This window comes from Homo sapiens, chromosome 9, assembly GCF_000001405.40.
Source record: "Homo sapiens chromosome 9, GRCh38.p14 Primary Assembly".
Lineage (NCBI taxonomy): Eukaryota > Metazoa > Chordata > Mammalia > Primates > Hominidae > Homo > Homo sapiens.
In genome coordinates this window covers 66,105,515-66,127,570 of record NC_000009.12, presented here as the reverse complement: position 1 = coordinate 66,127,570, position 22,056 = coordinate 66,105,515, and the positions used below count along the sequence as shown (strand labels likewise).

Here is a 22,056-nt window from a genome sequence, read left to right as displayed (position 1 = left end):
CTGGATAACATGGTGAAACCCCATCTCTACTAAAAATACAAAAAACTAGCCAGGTGGTGTTGTGGGCGCCTGTAGTCCCAGCTACTCAGGAGGCTGAGGCAGGAGAATGGCTTGAACCCGGGAGGCGGAGCTTGCAGTGAGCGGAGATACCACCACTGCATTCCACCCTGGGCGACAGAGCGAGACTCCGTCTCAGAAAAAACAAAACAAAAAAAGTCATTTGATGGAATGTTTCTTTGAAAATATGAGCACTAATAGAGTGTAATAGCTAAAGAAAGTGTCCTATTAACTGTATAATAAGTAAAGGAGAAGTGAAATGGTGATAAGTTGTGTCTCTAACCAAGGGTCAGCAGTTGATTCTATTGGGAGTACCACTAAAGGAGCTGAATTGTGAGTTCCATTTTAAGATACTCTAAGACCTGAGGCAAGTCAGGAGAGAGGGAAGAGGAAATGAATAAAGAGAAAGAAAGAATGAGGAGAGCGGATTGTACATGGAATAAATAAAAAAGCATATGCAGAGGTAAGTAAGAGAGGATAGTAAAGGCAAATTGATCTGTAGAAGAAGGAAGAACATGGTGTTAGAAACAGGAAAGAAGATAAAGTGAGCTTCCAGTACCAAAATGTGTCAGAGAATTACAGTAACATTTTCCTTCTCTTGCTGTCATCCTCGCTACTGGGGAGGCATTAAGGATTGAGGCACCTCACCACACAGACCTGTGTTTTATCTACCATAGATGAACATCACCAAAGATGGTCAGCCATGTATGGCTATAATTTGTTTTTATAGAAAATGTTGTAACCTCATAGGATAGTATCATATAGGCCAAATTAACATAATTGAATAGTGTTGGGTGATTTATGGAGAAGAAATTAATTCAAGAAGTTATTGCCTGATTAAAAGTTCATTAGAAACATTATGGCTTATAATGTAGTATTAAATTGAGGGACATAATAGGGAAGAAATTGAGGCTAGGCCAAAAGGGCAATTAGGGGAAACCAATATGGAAGCACATCAGTGTAGAACAGGGCATTCAAATTGTCATGAATGAGTTGAAGAGCTTCTGGAAGGTGCACATTCTGATTCAGCAGGTATGGGAGTCTGCATTTCTCATGAGTACTCAGGTGATTTTTGGTGCTGGTCCTTGGACACAGCTCTGAATAGCAAGGGAATAGCCTTCCTTTAGAGAACTCTGGAAAAAGAACCATTGGAGAGCAATTTAAAAAATAACAGAATCCAGGGAAAGCATTAATTTCCTTTTATTTCTGAGCATGATTCTAGCCACAGGGGAAGGAGAATGAGATGAAAACAGAGAGATTACAGGTGTATACTACTGCTGAATACAGATGAAAAAAGTGGTCACAATTATCCATAAAAAGCAGTTAGGAAGGGAAGCATCAGGATGACAGTTCTAAAAATCACTTTTTCAAAGGAAGAGGGATTGTGAAAGGACACGGAGGGAGGAAAGAAAGACATTTGCTGGGGTCTTGGGAGTTGAAGCCAAGTAAACTTGAGACAACTCACTTCCAGTTGCTTCAGCATATGCCCAGTCTCACAAAAGAGGTTATTGCTGTGGAGAGTACTGGAGGCAGGAGGGAGTGCTAGAGTTGGGGTAAACCACAGCAGCTCATTTCACTTGATAACTGTCAGGCCTCAGAGAGAGAAGTTTCACTGACATGAGTGAATAAGATGTGATTAAGTTGCATATAGATGCTTTGGCTAATTTTTTTTGATATTACAAAATTCATTCTGTGAATACCAAAATTCTCTTTTTCAATAAATACTGCACTGATTTTGAAATATAAATATGTATTCATATCCAGCAAGTCTGTGGTAATTCAGTGTTTTCTTTTTTGATAAATATTTTGATATCGGAAGCTTATTCGACATGGTTTATTTTATGTGATCCTTGCATGAGTGGATCAAGGAGCTCTAACTCAAGGCCAAATGAGGGGATAGGAGAAATGTAGGTGCTGCAGTAGCCCATGTGATCATGGGAAAAATGAGTAGTTTGATTAGCTGTCATTTCATAAGTGTGTATACTAGCTGATCAATGTAGAACACTTTCTTTGATGAGAGGTGAATCACACATTCACCTGAACTGTCATCCCAACTGTGTATTTCCTCAGTGACAAGACAAGGGGAATTTGTTTGTGGCATGCTGGCAGCAATGCCTCTGCTGTGTTGAGTTAAAATACTCTGTACATTCACCATCAGCTTTGACGTCGATTCCCTCAGGTTTGATTTGCTCCTCTGTTTAATGGTCCCTTTTCTCCTCATCAGTCCACATGTTCACGGTGATATCCATGCTTTTCTATTTTAGGTATAGGCATTTGAAACATAATCTCACTACTGAAATGTAAACTGTGCATTTTAGGAATCCTATATTCCTATTTTCCTCATTATGTTTCTGTCATGTTGCCGTCCTAGGCAATGAAAAGATGCCAAGAAGAACCCTCAAAACCTTAAGTAATTATTTTTATAGCCAGGCATGAGAATTCAGCTCGATAGTACCACTGCATGAATGTTTGGTTGGCCCTGTCATACTTACATATAATTGATGACATATCCCCTTTGCTTTGTAGGGCCTCCTGCAAAACATCCTTCCTTGAAGGTAATTAATTATGTATATTTTTGAATCACTAACTCCATGTTGTATAAAATATATATGATTTATGAATCATTTTCTTTTAAAACCCATTCAGCCTAGCACTGAAGTAGAAGATCCTGCTGTGAAAGGAGCAGTACAAAGAAAGAATGTACAGACATTGAGAGCAGGTACATTTAATGGAATACTGGAAATAAGTACATTCAATGATTGGAAGTACTCACATTATTCTTATTCCTAATTCTATTTGTTCAAAATTGAATGGAAGGCATTGACATAAATGTTATTGTTGGTATCCATATTTGAATAAAAATAAATTTAGAAGCATAAAAAAGATTTTAAAAATGTAAGCTTTAACTCAGATGTTTCTCTTTTAATGTTTTGAATAGCATGAAGTTTTCAGTATAAAATTTTTATACCTGTCAGGGATTCAAAGCAGTGAATTTTGAGACTCTAAGATATTTCCAATGAGTTAAGTGCTACTTGGAGTTCTGAACTTTACCTAGAGGAAAGCTTTACTTATTAACATGTCAGATTCTGTTTTAACTTTAGAGGCTTGCTGCTAGTGTTATTACACTGATGATCTGAAGCCAATCAGATGTTCTAATGAGCAAGACTGTGTGTGTAGGTGTATATATAGCTGTGTGTATGTGTGTGTTTGTGGCATCTTTGACTATTAAAAATGAGGAAAGTAATGATTCATTTATAACTGGTAGACACAGTCTTTTAAAATGGTGATTTTGAGACTTTTTGGTGTTAAGGTTTTTAAAACATGATTGCATAGAGGCTACCGACATCATAAGTTGGTTGTTTTTCATTTCAATGCCCTTTTGAAATCTTTAACTATATTGTGATGCTCAGAAATAATATGCAGAATTTTTTATTTGTGTCCCAAAATGGTATGTGAGTGGTTATACACTTTACATACCTTTCTGCCACTTTCTTTGGTGTATTTTGTATTATATTTTCCAGATGTATCCACATTGATATGATTATCTCTGGTTTAATTCATTTTACACTTTTCATTGTATTCCCTTATACCACTTTACCACATTTAGTTAGACTCTCCTGTTGCTGATAAATGAAGAAAGAAAGAAAAATAAAAATAATGTCAGATTAAGTGGGCTTTTCTTTAATCAGTTTGTATCTATTAATATTTACTATATGAGAGTTTAAAGTTGAAAAGTTCAGAATACAAGCATGCACCACCATATTTTATAAATGCCCTTAGAACTGTGACTCATGAGCCTTTAGCCTATGAAGTTAGGACAATTCATTTCTCTGAAGAAGTTTGTTGTGCTGTTCTCAGAAAAGAAAACTGAAAATAGCAAATGATATTGTCTTATTTGACCTCTTGGACATCTTTGAATGAAACTGCAACTCCAGGGATACTCAGATCAAAATTCAGAACTAATGTTTTGAACAATATAGTTTGTGAATGTCCAGTGGATCATGAGCCCTTGATGGGAAAATGACCTTTCAAGTTTCACTTTTGCATTTTTTGCTCTTTTCCTTGACTTGTCTTAAAAGCTTAAATTCAACCGTTTTATTTTTACAGAAACTGGGAATATAACTTTTAAAATTTATGTCTGTCCTGTCTCACGGTGTTGTGTACTCTTCAGATCTTGTGTGAATATAGACTTATGTGGGAACAATTAGGTGTTTTGTTTGTTTGTTTGTGTTTTTGAGACAGAGTCTTGCTCTGTCACCAAGGCTGCAGTGCAGTGGCTCGGTCTTGACTCATTACCACCTCTGCCTCTCGGGTTCAAGCAATTCTCCTGCCTCAGGCCCTCGAGTAGCTGATACTACCTGCATGTGCTACCATACCCTGCTAAATTCTCTATTTTTAGTAGAGATGGGGTTTCACCATGTTGGCCAGGCTGCTCTCAAACTCCTGATCTCAGGTGATCTGCCTGCCTCAGCTTGCCAGTATGCTGGGATTACAGGCAGGAGCCACTGTGCCAGGTACAAATAAGATTTTTAAGGCTATTATATTTTATACAATTCTTTGGTCTATGTGAATTCTGAAGGTATTCATGCATTGAGGGAAGATCATCTCAGTTTAATGAAAGCAGTTTTTAATGTATATTCATTAAAAATTTTTTTGAAGTTTTTGTCTCTAGTACAGAGAAACACACAATATTGTCATGGGTATTTGACCTTAATGTGTTTATGCACAAACTTAGTTATTCAAATATTTTCTTATCCCTGAAGAATCCTAATTATTAATAAAAAAATTTCTCATGGAAAACAACATATATAATAGAGATTGTTGAGTGATAAAGTAAATTGTAGTAAATAACAGAAGCTTAGAACAAGTTAAGTAAACTTGTCTGAGTTAATAGCAATTACAGGACTTTTAAGATACATTAGACCATGAGGGAGTAGTGTGTTTGTGGGGTAGAGGACATCATGGTCCTGCTTCAGTGAAGAAAGAACTTTTACACCTTATTACAATTTGTATTACTATTTACATTCTAATAAAAACTTTATTTTCAGATATTTTAGATTATGTTTCTACTAGTTGAACCATCAATAGTAAGACTTTTCAAAGATTTGGGAAGTTGTGAGTTGATGATAAATATCTGTATCACCATTCGTGATCAAAAATCAGCAACTACAAGACTTTGGACACACGAACTTCATAGTTAAAGAAAGGATTAATCTTGGAGCTGTGTTTTTATCAGGGAATTATACTCTTCATTACCTCTGTGAATCGCAGTTATTAGAGTAGAAAGAGAGCAAAGAAGGGAAACAAACATAGAAAATTTTATTCTAGATTACCTCAGTTGGCTTCATGCTACCATAGTTCTGGCTTTTAAAAAGTCATTCTGTGGTCAAATGTACTTTGTGTTTACTCCCTTTATGCAGCCTACAACCAAACAAAATGCTTCTTAGCAAGGCATTTGTATTCTTCCCTTAAGGAAAGCAACATATAAATAACAAAGAGAATGAGGAGAAAGAGTAATTTCATTGAAGTTGGTATTTAACATAAATTTGTGTGCGGGTACCATGATTATATTTAGAATTTTGGGCCTGGAATAGAAAACCAGCTAGACGTCTACAGATTTCCTACTCAAACACAATGTGCCTTTGTTTTATTTTTACATCTGTAATTTTGCAATTATTAGGTACAACTCTATGCAGTGTCACTAAAAATACCTTCCAAAACCAAATATTAAATAATGCCTATGGTTTTCTGTATTATAATGTTGATTTCCCCAATATTAATGGGAACCATTGAGCATTTGCCTTGTGGTGTCTCCTGAGCTGTATTCACACATTCCATCACCTTGTCTTAATGGATAATCATGCACTATGAGTATGGGTTTTCAGAAGAGCTGTATCATTTAAAGATAACACAGGAGCATCAAATTTAATTCTGCTAGAATACCTGGTCTATTGATTAACTGCAGCTAATATGGGGTCTACTTCACATACAAGTTAAATTCAGTGCCCTTAATCAGTCATATGGTCAGGTCAACAGTAATAAATTATGCAATATTTTTTCACCCCTATAGTTTTAATTTCTCTTTCCCCTTATGTCTAGAATTAACATTTTATTTTACAAAACATGATGATAATCTTCTAGAGTAGTGATGACAAAGTATAAATCCAAAGTTTCTTACCTATGCAAATGACTTGTTTGCTTCTATTTTCTCATGAGCTTGGTAGATCCAGGAAACAGAACTTTTAAAACAAAATCCCCATATGTGGCTGGGCGCGGTGGCTCGTGCCTGTAATCCCAGCACTTTGGGAGGCTGAGGCGGGCAGATAACCTGAGGTTGGGAGTTTGAGACCAGCCTGACCAACATGGAGAAACACATCTCTACTAAAAACACAAAATTAGCTGGGCATGGTGGCACATACCTGTAATTCCAGCTACTCGGGAGGCTGAGGCAGGAGAATCACTTGAACCTGGGAGGCAGCAGTTGCGGTGAGCTGAGATTGCACCACTGCACTTCAGCCTGGGCAGCAAGAGTGAAACTCCATCTCAACAACAACAACAACAACAACAACAACAACAACAGCAACAGCAACAACCACCACAAAACCCAAATGCATTTCCTTGGCACAGTAAAACTGAAACAGAAAAAGTGTAAAGTAAATACAAGTAACTGAAACAGTTTATGTATATTATTCTACTTCTCATTTGATAAAATTTGTAAAGTAATGAGCAGAGTGTATTTCTCCAGGGACCCAGATATATACATTTATTCATTCAATAAAAATTCATGCTTACAATGGCCACTGATACTTATGTCCTAAATATTTCTGAAAACATCTCCTCAGGCCTGCATCATCTTTGCAACACTGCCTTATATTTTATCTTTGTTCATTGATTTATATGCCTCAGAATTTTATGCTCCTCACAATAATTAGAGTTAATTATCTCTAATGCAAATAGATCTGTGAACCACTCCTGAATACCTATGTCCAAGCATCTTAAAGTTTTATATAAGGATTTCAGAAACTGATTTCTGGGTTGGGCATGGTGGCTCGTGTCTATAATCCCAGCACTTTGGGACGCTGAGGCAGGTGGATCATTTGAGGTCAGGAGTTCAAGACCAGCCTGGCCAACAAGGTGAAACCCCATCTCTAATAGAATACAAAAATTAGCAGGTGGTAATGGCACATGCCTGTAATCTCAGCTACTTGGGAGGCTGAGGCAGGAGAATTACTTGAACCTGGGAGGCCGGGTTGCAGTGAGCCAAGATCATGCCACTGCACTCCAGTCTGGGAGACAGAGTAAGACCTTGTCCCAAAAAAAGAAAAGAAAAGGAAACTGATTTCTGCCCAAATCTCCATCTGTAGCCCTTTCCCCATCTGCCTTTTTCTCTGGAATTACTGAGCTGCTGGTAATGGCCCCCTCACCATTCCTCTTTTGCAGAGAAATACATACTCTCTTGGAGGCTTCTCTCCCTCTCTTGTTGCTGCCTGGCATGTGCTCACCCTTTCCTGCCCTCTGCCTCACTTAATCTGGCTAACCTTACTCTCTAAGTCTCAGCTCATGCATGATCTTTAGGAAAGCCATCCCTGACAGCTTTTATTTTCCTTCCTTATACCCCAGTGCCTAACACTTAGCAGGAACTCAATAAGTAATTATTTAGCAAAATTAAGACTGTTTATACAAAGATGATTCAAAAGATTGTCCTCTACAGTCTAACAGCAAAGGGGATCAACATGTAAAGACATGATGTGCAGTTCAGGTGGTAAAGTGACGCTGGAAAAGTTGACAAAGTACTAAGGAACTCCAATGAAGCAGACACCTGTGTGTGTGGAGAAAGACAGCTAGAATCAAGGAAGACTTCACACAGCATTCTGAGCCTTTTTTTTTCTTTTTCTGTTGTTGGAGACAAGTTCTTACTCTATTACCCAGGGTGGAGTGCAATGGTGTGATCGAGACTCACTGCAACCTCAAACTCCTGGGCTCGAGGGATCTTCTCACCTAAGCTTCTTGAGTAGCTGGGACTACAAGCACATATCACCATACCTGTCCAATTTTTTGTAGAGTCAAGGTTATCTATGGTTCCCAGGCTGGTCTTAAACTCCTGGCCTTGAGCAGTTCCCCCATTTTGGCCTTCCAAAGTGCTGGGATTACAGATGTGAGCTATTATGCCCAGCCTACTTTCTGAGTCTTAAAAGATGAAAATAAATTTTTCAGAATAGTAGGGGAAAACATTTGCGATGTAAAAAATGGGGTGCACACTAATTAAGGTATAAACAACAATAATTTTGCAAATTATTAGTAACTGCCAACTCAATTAGTGTCTTGTTAAAAAGATACTGTTATGAAGTATAGTAAAGTGTTACATTGTATATTTTGACTGTATTTCAAAATTTTGTTTTGTTTCTAACAGTTTTGTTGATTTATGTTGGGTGGAACAATTTGTGAGTGACCCTGAGATTTCATATGGCTTGAACCTGGTGATATCTAATGTCTCCCCAAGTGGTTTGTTGAAATTTTGGATGATTAGAAGTATTTCTTAAAGAACTAAATATTTCAGTAAACATTAAGCTTCATTGAAACTCTCAAAATATAAAATACAAAGAAATGTTATTCTCTATTTATTTTTATATAGATTATAGTCTTTATCTAACTGTTCTTAGTTCATTTGAACTAAACCAATGAATTTGTCAACAGAACAAGCCTTACCAGTGGCTTCAGAGGAAGAGCAAGAAAGGCATGAAAGAAGTGAAAAGAAGCAACCACAGGTATATGAAAATTCAAGTTTCTTGTTTAATATTGGGTTTTGTTTTTTTGCTTCAGTAACAAAGCATAGTCCAAATGACATGACCTTTTAGACTATACCTTTAGAATCCGATAGATCATAATTTTATATTTAATTTTTAAAACATCTTAACCAGTTATGAAACTTAAGATATTCTTACTATCTCTAGTAACTATTAGTTATTCTGGTAATTCTTACTATCTCTAGTAACTCATAGCTGTCTTTACCCTTGGAATTGAGGCAAGACATTTTCAGAATTATCTTGCTCTTTTATTGTTATAACCTTACTCATAATACAGAAGGTAACATGAAATATTGGGTCATATTATTAAGGAATAGAAATTGTGAACAATTTAACAATGATGGCCACTGAGTTAAACTAGTGTTAAAGGAGTCATCATTGCCAATGGTTCAAATGTTGCAGTTTTATATTGCTGGTCACCAGTGCCGAGGTTAAAGATTTATTCTGTTTTGTGGTCACCATTTGACTTCTGTGTCTGTGTTCAGGGAGTGAGTGGGGTCATAAAAGTCAACCCAGTTGCCTATTAAGAGAATCCTACCTTGTGGAATGGGACCTTTGGTGTCAGGGTACAAACAATAACTTTATTTTGACATAAATACATAGTAAATGTTACTAAAATTTAAAAAATCCATCCACTATCACTAGTGGAACTTAAAATATATTAGAAGTGGATATAAGCAGATAATCCATCTAGATACATAACACTATCATAGTATATTATTTGAATTAGAATTTAAAATTTTGCTTCCCTTTCTTATTGGTGTTCAGTTTGGCTCTTAATAATTCAGTGTTTGCCTAGTCTGTAGTTAATCTTCAGAAATATACACGTACTGTAGGGGCTCACTTTTTCTGGTATGCTGAGGTAAAATCTTTGTAAGAGAGGAAGATTTTATAATACTACCTATCAGCTTTGAATTCATTTCTGGTAGATTTTACACATAATGCATTAAGTTTAATCCAAACAAATGCTAAGCGTTCAGCTTGCCAGTTCATATTTCTGTCCTATGTTAAGCCAAGGCAAATTATTTTTCACTTTTTAGTTACAATCCCATAATTTAAGAGTGGCAACACATAGATTAAGTTTCACAGTTAAATTTTAATTATTTTCTAGTATTTTTGTTTATACTTGATTAAAGCTAATTTTAAAACATGCACTCTGACAGAAAAGGCATCTGAGAAACAAAACAAGCAAATTTGTTTTCCATTTTGCACCTGCCAAAAAAAAAAAAAAGTCTCAAGAACCAGAACTGGGTAAGAATTGTGATAAAGGGAATAATCTGTCTGTATATTCACGACTTTCTTTAAAATTCATTACAAACAAGTTCAAGCTGAATATTGGTGAAAGTTTTGAAAACTCCAGAATTACTGCTTGCCCTGAGGAAGAGCTCCTACATAGTAACTCTAAAGAGGGACGAACAAAAAAGGAGTGCCCTCTAATCTGATGAATCAGGTCCCTGATTGTGAGGAGGAAGATGCATCTGGAGGGTCTAACTCTGTGGCATTCCAGGCAGCGCCTGAACAGAGGAAGCCCATGTCAAATGTCTTTTTATTCCATTCATACTCCAGGTCCCTGAAATACAGTTACCAGTCATCTTCTAAGCTTCATTTAAATGAAAATAAATCAGACTATAAAAATGATAGCAAACCAGACACATAGCTTGTTTCTAACACAGATGATGAAAATTTTTGTAATGATACTGAAACCAAAAAATTAAGGAACCCAGTAATTATGATTGAAATGAAAGATGATTAAGAGTTTGACATGCAAATGGCAAAAAATGTAAACCCAGATACCACTAATTGGAAATTGGACATTAGGCATTGGCCTCAGTCTAGAGATCCAGAAAGTCTTTTTGATTTGTTGTTTACCCACCCCAAAGAAATGAAGCATATGATTCAGATAGAAAGCCACAGTATTTCTGCTGCTACAGATACTTATAAAAACAGAAAACCAATACAGCGTTTATTCCAGCAGCCACTATATGGCAATCCCAGTGCTAACAACTACAGAAGCATGAATCTTGAATTATAAAATGTGAGTTATTCTTTACCACATAGTGAGAGAACATCAAAAATATAGCTAGAAGACTTATGGGAAGATATTCCAAGGTCACCAACATGGCACATGAATAGATATGTAACAAACCTGCATGTTGTGCACATGTACCAGAACTTAAAGTATAATAATAATTAAAAAAAGAATGAGGTAGGCATGTTACAAGTTGAGTTCCTGGCTTTGGAGAAAAGCAAGTCCAACTTCAAAAAGACAGAGGTTCACTTGCTGCTTCTTTTTCCTCTTTATCAATTATTTGATTTAGTCAAATTTTCTATTCAAGAAAATCTCATGTGTACAGTTACAGTGGGGTTATCTAAATGTGTAATTATGTGTCAAAGTAGATTAGTTCTGCTATCTAAATAATGGTTCTGGAGAATGTTCTCATAATGTTTGTTCATTAATCAACCTATGTCTCACTATCAGTCTTCCAAGTGGCGTATGAGCTGGGAAACTAATTAAGCCACATACCATGTGACCTTCTGAACCAGATCAACATAAAGAAATTGCTAAAGAAACAAGCTCTAGATTCTAGATTCTTTTTTCTTGTATTCATTTAGAGATAATTTACATTTATTTAATGATAGAATGGGAATACAATGGGAGGGAAGCAATGACTGAGACAAGCCACAAAAACACGTCTAGCCTTGAGAGTTGCAACGAATATTCCCAGCCAAATGAGTCTGTTTAATGTGTTTTCATGCATGCAAGTTTATCTGCTTAGCTCAAACTGTTTGAACTTACAGTCCCATCATGGTTATTTCCAATATTTTTGAAAACAAACATATACTTACACATATTTTAAAAAATCACCACTCTGCAATATTTCTGTTGAATCAGACCTTACGTTATGTTGTTTAATAAAGTATGGTAAGTTTTGGCATGTATGATTTTTATCATATAAGAAGCATAATTTCTTAGCCAAAAATTTAGCCTTTGACTCTTTAGTAGAAAGTTGAGTTCTGTACATTGTGTTCTAAAGATAGACAAAAATCTAGAGATTTTCTTCTTTCAAAGTAAAAGCAGATGAGGCCTTTTTCCACCCTCTGAGGCATTAAATTGCTTTGCTCAAGTTAGACTTTTAATATATCTAATTTGATAAATTTATCTGGTAATTTATGTAATTCAGCAATATGGAATTGTATCATGTTATATGGTGCCATGAAATGCTAGTGAATGCCACCTCAAGAGCTCTGGATGAAACATTTAATATGTCTTGGTTGGTTTGACTCCCATTATCAGTAGATAATGGGGTTAAAGTAGGTAACTGTACCATATGTTTTCCACCTATAAACTTTTGTGGTAATTGAATGTGAAATCTGGGAAGCATCTCATTTTCCAGAATTCTGCACTAGAAACTCAGCAGTTTCACTCTGCTTCTTTTGTTGTGGCAAACGTTGGTTCCCATAATTCAAAGAGAACCTTTACTTTTTTGATATCACAGGATTCAAAAAAAAAAAAAAGAGAGATAAAAGGCAGTGGGGAAAAGAGTAGCTCAGTACAGAAAAGGGAAAACTTCTTTACTGTTCCTGAAGGCCTACAAGGTCACATCTTCTTAATCTGGCTATTTCATGTAAAATCCAGGTAGTAAAGACAGAAGACATATATTATGCCTGTGTCTTTTTATTTCTCTGTTTCTGCCAGCCAGATAGCATAAAAATTTATACCAGATAGCAAAGAGTGGATGGGAATAAAAGCACAAAATGGAGAAGAGCCCTTTTTGAAATTTTGGAAAATTCTTCTATTCCCTCAAACAGAAATGAGCAGATTTGACAAAAATTTCGATGATAAAATAAGAGTATCTTATAATTATAATAATTATGTATAATGATAAAATTAAAGTAAGCACAAAATACTTTTATCATTAAAGTGGTGATAGTTAACCTGAATCAAGTAATAAAAATCAGGGAAAAAGTTCTTTTTATTGAATAAAATAATAACAATTATTATTCATCTTTTATTAAAGGTCAAAGAAGGAAATAATACAAACAAAAGTGAAAAAATACAACTTTCAGAAAATATATGTGATAGTACATCTTCTGCTGCTGCTGGCAGATTAACCCAACAAAGAAAGATTGGGAAAACGTATCCTCAGCAATTTCCCAAGAAGCTGAAGGAAGAGCATGATAGGTAAGCCTATAGCAGTGTTTTTTTGTTTGTTTGTTTGGTTTTGGGTTTTTTTTGTTTGTTTTTGTTTTTTTGAGATGGAGTTTCTCTCTTGCTGCCCAAGCTGGAGTTCAATGGTGTGATCTCAGCTCACTGCAGCCTCTGCCTCCTGGGTTCAAGCGATTCTTCTGACTCAGTCTCCCTAGTAGCTGGGATTACAGGCATGTGCCACCATGCCCGGCTAATTTTTTGTATTTTTAGTAAAAATAGGATTTCACCATGTTAGCCAAGCTCGTCTCGAACTCCTGACTTCACGTGTTCTGCCCACCTCGGCCTCCCAAAGTGCTGGGTTTACAGGAGCGAGCCACCGTGCCTGGCCGCCTATAGCAGTATTTCACAGGAGATAATTGTCATTGTGCTATAAACTAATTGAAAATTGGACTAATATTCCTTATGATTAACAAGTTTTATATTTTTACCAGGGGTATTTAGCCCTGCCTGGTATTCAGAAAAAAGCAAATTAACATAAAATAAGATATATTTTGTAAAGTCATGCTGATATTTAAAAAGTAATTATTAGTGTTGGCAAATGTGAGGAAAAAGGCATTCTCATACACTGTTGGTATAGGAAATTAGTAAATTATTTCTGAAGGGTAACTTAGTGCTGTGTATCAAAATTTCAAATAGCCTGACATCCCTTTAACTCAACAACTCCACTTCTGGGACTAGATTTCACAGGAAAACATAACTGGTGTAAACATACACACACTTATTAATATATAATTAACATGCATTAATTATATATTACACATAATGAACAATAGGTTAATGAATATATAAAATATATGTAATAAGAAGGTGAATTGAAAGTATTAAGAAAGAAATATAAAAAGTGTGGGGAAACAGATGTTAGACTTTTCAGCCTAGTTTTGGATGACAGTCATCTGCAGATATAGTTTGTGTGAGAGACATCTGAAGGTGTCATCTCACTCTGTAAATCATTTGGAGAAACACCTGCAATATTTCATAAAGATGAAAATTTATTTCTAGTGAACTTATACGCTTGTCAATAAATAGTAACTTTAAAAATTTAGTTGATTGTAAATGATCTTTTCTAATTAGGGAGTAATTATGACTGTGTGATTTAAAAAGGTAATTTTGAACCTGTAACTTTACTGAATTATCTCTGGTATCCTTTTTTATAATATATATTAGAGTGACTAGTAACAAAAACTTTAGCAGAATATTCTTTCCTTACTACTTTTCAAGTATATGCATTCATTTGAAGATGTTGAAGTGAGAAATTAAATATCTGAGAACTGCAAAGGAAAAATAATCCAGAACATAGAAATTTTATTAGGATAATAAACAACATCTGCAGAGGTAGATAACAGGATGAACTCCTTATTTTTTAACAAAATGAATTTTAAGACAAATGTCTTTATCTGCAGATGCACCTTAAAACAAGAAAATGAAGAAAAAACAAATGTTAATATGCTGTACAAAAAAAATAGAGAAGAATTAGAAAGGAAAGAGAAACAATATAAGAAAGAAGTTGAAGCAAAACAACTTGAACCAACTGTTCAGTCACTAGAGATGAAATCAAAGACTGCAAGAAATACTCCAAATCGGGTAAATCAATCTTTGGTAAAAATTCTATATTTTAAACTTTATCTTATCACTGTTACTTATAATATCCACTTGATTTAATATATATTGTTTAGGTCTAAAACCATAAATGTTATCTCATTTTTAAAAATGAATGATGACACTTACAGGTACAATTATTAATATTTATTATAAATCTTGGCATCCACATAGGATATTATTTTATTACAAAGAGCTTTTGAAAACAATAATATGCCATAATTTATACTTAGTGATAACCTATTGATAAAAATTTTGTTCCAGGTAAAATTTTTCCTTGTACTTTCCCCTATTTCATATTGATTACTGCACCTAATATTATAAAGAGGAAGCAGAAATTATTGCAATCGCAAATAATCTCATGATATTCTAAGAAGAGCTCTATAAATTTTATCTTATTTACTATTGGCATTTTGAAATAAAAGTTTTCTTTCGTATTGATGTATTTACACCACAGAAGTAACTGTGATCTGTTGGAGAACTAGAAGTAGAGTCAGAAGTCCTGGGGAAAATCCTGTAGCTTGCTTATATTTTTAACATTTCTTTTTCAAAATTATGGTAACTAGATGAGTTCATCAATGAATGTATATAGGAGTGACTAGTATAATGTCTAGTTTATGATTTAGTGAATGTAATTCTTATAACTGACTATAAAAGTGTTAAAAGAGTCAAACTGAAATAGAATGTTATCAGTGAAACAGAACTGTAATAACTCTGGGAAATTTTATCTGTCCAAATATGTGTGAACAAAAGTTCTTACTATAGGGTGGTGTATGGGTTAGGTATCAAAGTGTAAATGCAATTTTTTGATATATCTTAATTTAGTCAAATTTGTTAATGCTTTAATTTATGCTTTTGAGTTTGTTGTAATTCAGGGAAAGGCTTTTCCAATTCTGATATTCTTAAAAATTCTCTGGTGTGTGTGTGTGTGTGTTTACTTTTATAAATTCATTGACTCTAAATACATTTCTGAACTTTCTGGAATTTATGCTCTATAAGGTTCAAAGTTTTGCTTCAACTTTTTCTCCAGGTGGATATCCACTTATGGTAAACTTTTTAGTGGTACGGATGTGCAGGTTATTCTTTAACTTCAGAGGTAATCATGATATGTTATTTTATTGAGTACTAGCTAAAACTTTCTTTTGTTTTATTTAGGATTTTCATAATCATGAAGAAATGAAAGGTCTGATGGATGAAAATTGCATTTTGAAGGCAGATATTGCTATACTCAGACAGGAAATATGTACAATGAAAAATGACAACTTGGAAAAAGAAAATAAATATCTTAAGGACATTAAAATTGTTAAAGAAACAAATGCTGCCCTTGAAAAGTATATAAAACTCAATGAGGAAATGATAACAGAAACAGCATTCCGGTATCAACAAGAGCTTAATTATCTCAAGGCTGAGAATACAAGGCTCAATGCCGAACTGTTGAAGGAAAAAGAAAGCAAGAAAAGACTGGAAGCTGACATTGAATCTTATCAGTCTAGACTGGCTGCTGCTATAAGCAAACACAGTGAAAGTGTGAAAACAGAAAGAAACCTAAAACTTGCTTTAGAGAGAACACGAGATGTTTCTGTACAAGTAGAAATGAGTTCTGCTATTTCCAAAGTAAAAGATGAGAATGAGTTTCTTACTGAACAACTTTCTGAAACACAAATTAAATTCAATGCCTTAAAAGATAAGTTCCGTAAGACAAGAGATAGTCTCAGAAAAAAGTCATTGGCTTTAGAAACTGTACAAAACGACCTAAGCCAAACACAGCAGCAAACACAGGAAATGAAAGAGATGTATCAAAATGCAGAAGCTAAAGTGAATAATTCCACTGGAAAGTGGAACTGTGTAGAAGAGAGGATATGTCACCTCCAACGTGAAAATGCGTGGCTTGTACAGCAACTAGATGACGTTCATCAGAAAGAGGATCATAAAGAGATAGTAACTAATATCCAAAGAGGCTTTATTGAGAGTGGAAAGAAAGACCTCGTGCTAGAAGAGAAAAGTAAGAAGCTAATGAATGAATGTGATCATTTAAAAGAAAGTCTCTTTCAGTATGAGAGAGAGAAAACAGAAGGAGTAGTAAGTATCAAGGAAGATAAATATTTTCAAACTTCTAGAAAGACAATTTAAACATTTGGTTCTGGATACATGTTGAACTTAGTTGAATATAAAAATCTAGATTAAAAGTGTGTTTACCATACTGTATAATTCCATTTACATGAAGCATCCAGAAAAGATAAATGTATAGGGACAAAAAGTAGATTCATGTTTGCAAGGGGCTGGGGCTGGAAGCTGGTAGTGACTGCTAATGGGCATGAGGAATCTTACAGTGATGGAAATGCTCTAAAGTTGGATTGTAGAGATGGCTGCACAACTCAGTAAATGTACTAAAAATCTTTTAACTTAAAACAGATACATTCTATAGTATGTAAATTATATTTCAACAAAGCTGTTTTAATAAAAAAAGGAAAAATGTGTTTACTATATCGGCTTAGAAACATGCCTCATTTCTAGGAAATAAAAGATAGAGGTGAGAGATGATTTACTTTGAGAAAAGACATTGTGTCACCTATGAAATTTTATTAGGCACAGAGTCATATTTTAAGGTAGATAGTTCTGTATTGCTGAAATAGTAATTTTAATGTCTTTATGTTGCCACATGTTAAGACCATAATGTAGTTATAAATGGAAATGTTTACACCTGAAGTGAGTATTTTCAAATTAAAATTTAATTAAGTGATTTTCTTCGACACTTAATTCTAGATTCCCCAGATGAATTGAAGTGTATTGCTGTGTCTTGTAATACCTTGCTTTAACTAGCTTTTTATGTATTTTAGTTGGTATAGCTTTGTTATTATTCATATTAACAAATCTGAAAATATGTCAAATTACGTGTTTTTATGACCATGTAATGTTTTAAAGGCACCTACTTGTTATAAAATCATAATTTAGGATAAATGTGGTAAAACTTAGCAAAACTATATTTGGTTTAGTTTTCCCACTGGTATTTATAGTTTACTTTGAATATTTATATTAATAATTAGCTCATAATTTTTATTGCAAGGCTCAATGACTGTCATTGGAATATAATTTTGTTCAGTACAAAGATACTTGTAGCTGTCTGTGATTTACGAGTTAGGCACTACATCTCCATTTTCAGACTGAGGGGTGGCAGGCTTCACATACAGTGGGAATGGAGTAATTACAGGAGGGAGTTGTAGGAGCTTTGAAGTCAGAGAGGGAGGTAGAGGCCTTTTTACCTAGGGCCTCAAAGGCCATTGGAATTTTACTTTTATTCTGAGATAGGAATCTGTTGGAAGGATTTGAACAGGTGATTGAATATGTTAGGAACTTTGAGGCTGAGTTGAGCTTCTGAGATGATTGAATGTTGGAATGAATCTGTTGTGTAAGTAAGAGAATACCAATTTGGCAGGAAGAGAACATATTCTGCATCCCTCACTGAATTCAGTAATAAATAAAAATGTGTACATGTGATTAAAAGAAGGTGAATTGATATGTGTGGTGATAATTTTCAAAGTAGATATGTTAGAATTAAACATTATTAACATAATTTAATAAGGCAGTTTATAAAATCAGTAACAAATATTTTATCAGGTGGTTGTGAGACAACTTCAACAAGAAGTGGCTGACAGCGTAAAAAAATTAACGACGTTAGAGTCTCCACTGGAAGGTATATCACGTTGTCACATTAATTTGGATGAGACACAGGCCTCAAATAAGAAATTATTTCAAGTGAAAAGTCAAATATGTATGGAATTTAACATGTCAACAGTTATTCTGTAGCTAGTTGAATTATATAACGTGTTTTAGGATACTAATTTTGGCAGAAGCTTGATTTTTTATTTTCATTATAATGAATGATTTCCATTTTACTATCTTTATAATGTACTATTTTTTTATATTGTGACTTTCATTATACCATTTTGAAAAACCATTGCATACCTTTTCTCTTACAATATGTACCCTTGGAAAAGTTGAGAATTATACATCATTCCTCATAGAAAATTGACTTTTTTCCTGTTAAACAGTATTTTTAAGTAATTTGTGTATTGCTCTGATGAGGCAAGCCAGATTAAATCAGAGGAGAATGTTTCATGGAATGTTCCAGAAAATTGTCTTATTTCTTCACTTTTGTGAATGGACACAGAATCTGTGTCTATTTGTTTCACAGATTCTAGGTTAACTTGTACAGAAAGGCCATTATACTATTCTTTGAAATGTGCATGTTTTAGGTTAATTTACAAACTATTTGAAAAGTTAGGCATTTTCTTTATCTTTTATTTAAAATATACTGTAAAACTGTAGAAATATTTAGATTTGATATAGCATGTACATCAAAAATTAAGAGTTGAGAAAATTATCTTGATCCTGCCTTTGGATTTTAAAAAGATTCACTGAGATGTCATTCACATATCAGACAGTTCAACCATTTAAAATGTACAACTCAGTGTCTATTAGTATGTTCACAGCATTTTCGTCACCCTGAAAAGTGACCCCACATCTCCTAGGCATGACTGCAGCCTTCCTCCATGTCCCTCCACCTACCCCTGTTGTAGGCAACCACCGTCTACTTTTGTCTCCATATGTTTGCCTGTTCTGCATATTTCATATACATAGAGTTATACAATATGTAGTCCTTTGTGACTGGCTTTTTCACTTAGCATAATGTTTTCAGAATTCATGCATGTTTTAGCACACATTCGTAGTTTATTTCTTCTTATAGTTAAATGATATTCTATTCCATGGCTATACTGGTTTTCCATTCGTTCATCAGTTGATGGACCTTTAGGTTAGTTTCCACTTTTTAGCTATTATGAAAAATGCTGCTGTGAACATTCACTTACAGGTTATTATGTGGACACGGGTTTTTATTTCCCTGCCATTGGACTTTATCCTCAGAGTTAATTGGGCAGATTTCAGCACTTGTCTTGCTCATGCTATTCTTTCTGCCTTCTCAGTTTCTGTTCATCTAGCCTCATTCATTCAGACCTGGCAGACAATTTTTTTGTTTTCATGAAGCTTTCTCTGACTGTTCTGTCATTGACCTTATGTGTTAGCAATCGTTGTCTAGTCTGTGCTGAAAAACTTAGTCCTTAATTTTACATGGCTTTTATTTTTTTATGGAAGATAATTTTCTCTCATTATAAATTTGCTTAATGGGGGAATAATATATAATGTGTATGCCACCTATCCTTGCATACATTGAAAATATTTTAGCTTAGAAGTTTGTAGCATACAATTCAATCATTTATACCATACCAATTATTTCTTCTTTGAGACCTTGACACAGTAAGGTTATATTCTAAATATATTTTTAGCAATTAAATATCAAATCTAACCCAATTAGTCTAACACAGGAGATGCGTTCAATCACGTGTTTATGTTTTTCTCTCTATGAAAAAGAATATAAATTGGCCTTTTTTCACTATGCAGCCATTACTGTGTTTCTGGACTGCTCCCAGTCTGTCAGCTGAACAGTTCTGGGTGCAGCTTGTCTGATGAAGGATAGCACAGCCCCTCAATCTGAGTGCTCAGCAGAGTGCTTGTGAAGGCAGCACCACAGCAACAGTTGCTCAGAGGGAACGGATTCAGGAGCCTTGACTTAGCAATAGAGTCCAGGGTTTTCAGCTCAGTGTCTTTAGCCTGTCTCTGCTGGTCATGTCAGTTACGTACTATTCCATCCAGGAGGTGCTATTTACATTGTAGTACATACACAGTCATTGCCTAATGAGTCATACAGAGAGAAAAGTAAGTTATAAATTATGTCCCCCATTTGCTGCAACTCTCAGTGTTAAGAATGATTCAGTGCAGCTATAGGAGACTACTTCCATTGGCATGCCACCTGCGTAAATACACAATTTTGTTAAGATATACAATAAAATTATTATGCTAATAGCAAATATTTTATGTAGCTCACTATGTTCCATGTAGTCTTCTAAGTGCTTCATGTTAGTCCCCATTTAAACACCTGGTTTTGGAAGGCTGAGGCAGGAGGATTGCTTGAGCCCAGGAGTTTGAGACCAGCCAGAGCAATATAGTGAGACTCTGTCTCTAAAAAAAAAAAAAAATTTTTTTAAACACTTAGCTGAGGCATGGTGGTGCATGCCTGTAGTCCCAGCTACATTGGGAGGCTGTGGTAGGAGGGTTGTTTGAGCTTGGAATATTGAGGCTGCAGTGAGCAGTGATCAAGCCACTGCACTCCAGCCTAGGTAGCAGAGGGAGACTCTGTCTCATAAATAAATCATGTTGTATAGATTCCCATAGAAGTGAGTTAGACATCAGGCATAGAATTATTAGCCGCTTTGATGTCTGCCTTGGGAGTAAAACACATAATAAGGGGCAGCTTTAAACCATCTCAATCAATAGCCTCTAACTTCTCCAGAAGGTTCTTATTTCATGAATTTCTAAGCAAGGGACTACCTGGATTAAGACATTTGGTAGACACCATTTTGAGATGAAGAATCTTGAATGGGAAGAAGGGAGATCTCTACTTACTGAAGCTTCCCGATGACATAGTTGAGTGTCCCCCAAAAGGAACTTTAGAACAAGATGTTCATCATGCCATATCTCTATGGAAAAGGAAATTATTTAAAAGAAAACAAAGGCAAACAATTGATAATCTGATTCTCATGGGAAAGTTTTCATTATCAAAGAAAAAGAGGGCTGGGTTCCATGGCTCACATCTGTAATCCCAACACTTTGGGAGGCTGAGAGGGGTGGATTACCTGAGGTCAGGAGTTCAAAAACAGCCTGGCCAACATGGTGAAACCCTGTCTCTACTGAAAATACAAAAATTAGCCAGGCGTGGTGGTGTGCACCTGTAGTCCCAGCTACTTGCCAGGCAGAGGCAGGAGAATCACTTGAACCCAGGAGGTAGAAGTTGCAGTAAGCTGAGATGGCACCACTGCACTCCAGCCTGGATGACACAGTGTGACTCCATCTCAAAAAAAGAAAAGGACAAAGTATATTGGTCCAAAAAAGAAGAAAGAATGAAAAAAAGGACAAAGTATACTGGTTAGTATCGTAACAGTGAGATAGTCCCCCTTTGAGATTAGAAAATAACAGTATACTCAAAGTAACATCAATAAGAACCAACATAAAATAGACAAGATTCACTATCTACAAAAGTAATCTGCACCAAGTAGCAATGTATGAGCATGTGGTGGAGAATATTGTCTATAATATGTGTACTAGAAGGAAGAGACCTCAAGAAAAAGGTCAGAGCTGGAAATGTAGATTAGGGAATCTAGGTCAAAGTTTTGAGATTTTAGGAGTCCTGAGAGAATTTAAAAAGCTAAATAGCCACCGGGCGTAGTGGCCACACCCGTAATCCCAGCACTTTGGGAGGCCAAGGCAGGCAGATCATGA

At 35.1% G+C, this 22,056-nt stretch overlaps 1 pseudogene across 6 annotated transcripts in view; it reads left to right on the top strand.

Moving 5' to 3' along the window:
• ANKRD20A3P (ankyrin repeat domain 20 family member A3, pseudogene) overlaps window positions 1-22,056 on the top strand; it is a 59,242-nt pseudogene that overhangs the window by 25,617 nt on the left and 11,569 nt on the right. For 2 of the 6 annotated variants that reach the window (XR_001746296.3, XR_007061553.1), the window contains exons 10-16: window positions 2,584-2,612; window positions 2,704-2,776; window positions 8,752-8,822; window positions 12,881-13,044; window positions 14,472-14,652; window positions 15,823-16,746; window positions 18,283-18,358. The product of XR_001746296.3 is annotated as an ankyrin repeat domain 20 family member A3, pseudogene, transcript variant X2 (transcript). Of the gene's footprint in view, window positions 1-2,583; window positions 2,613-2,703; window positions 2,777-8,751; window positions 8,823-12,880; window positions 13,045-14,471; window positions 14,653-15,822; window positions 17,152-18,282; window positions 18,433-22,056 lie in introns of those variants that run through there. The other 4 variants (XR_007061554.1, XR_007061555.1, XR_001746295.3 and 1 more) reach the window with 3 other exon arrangements.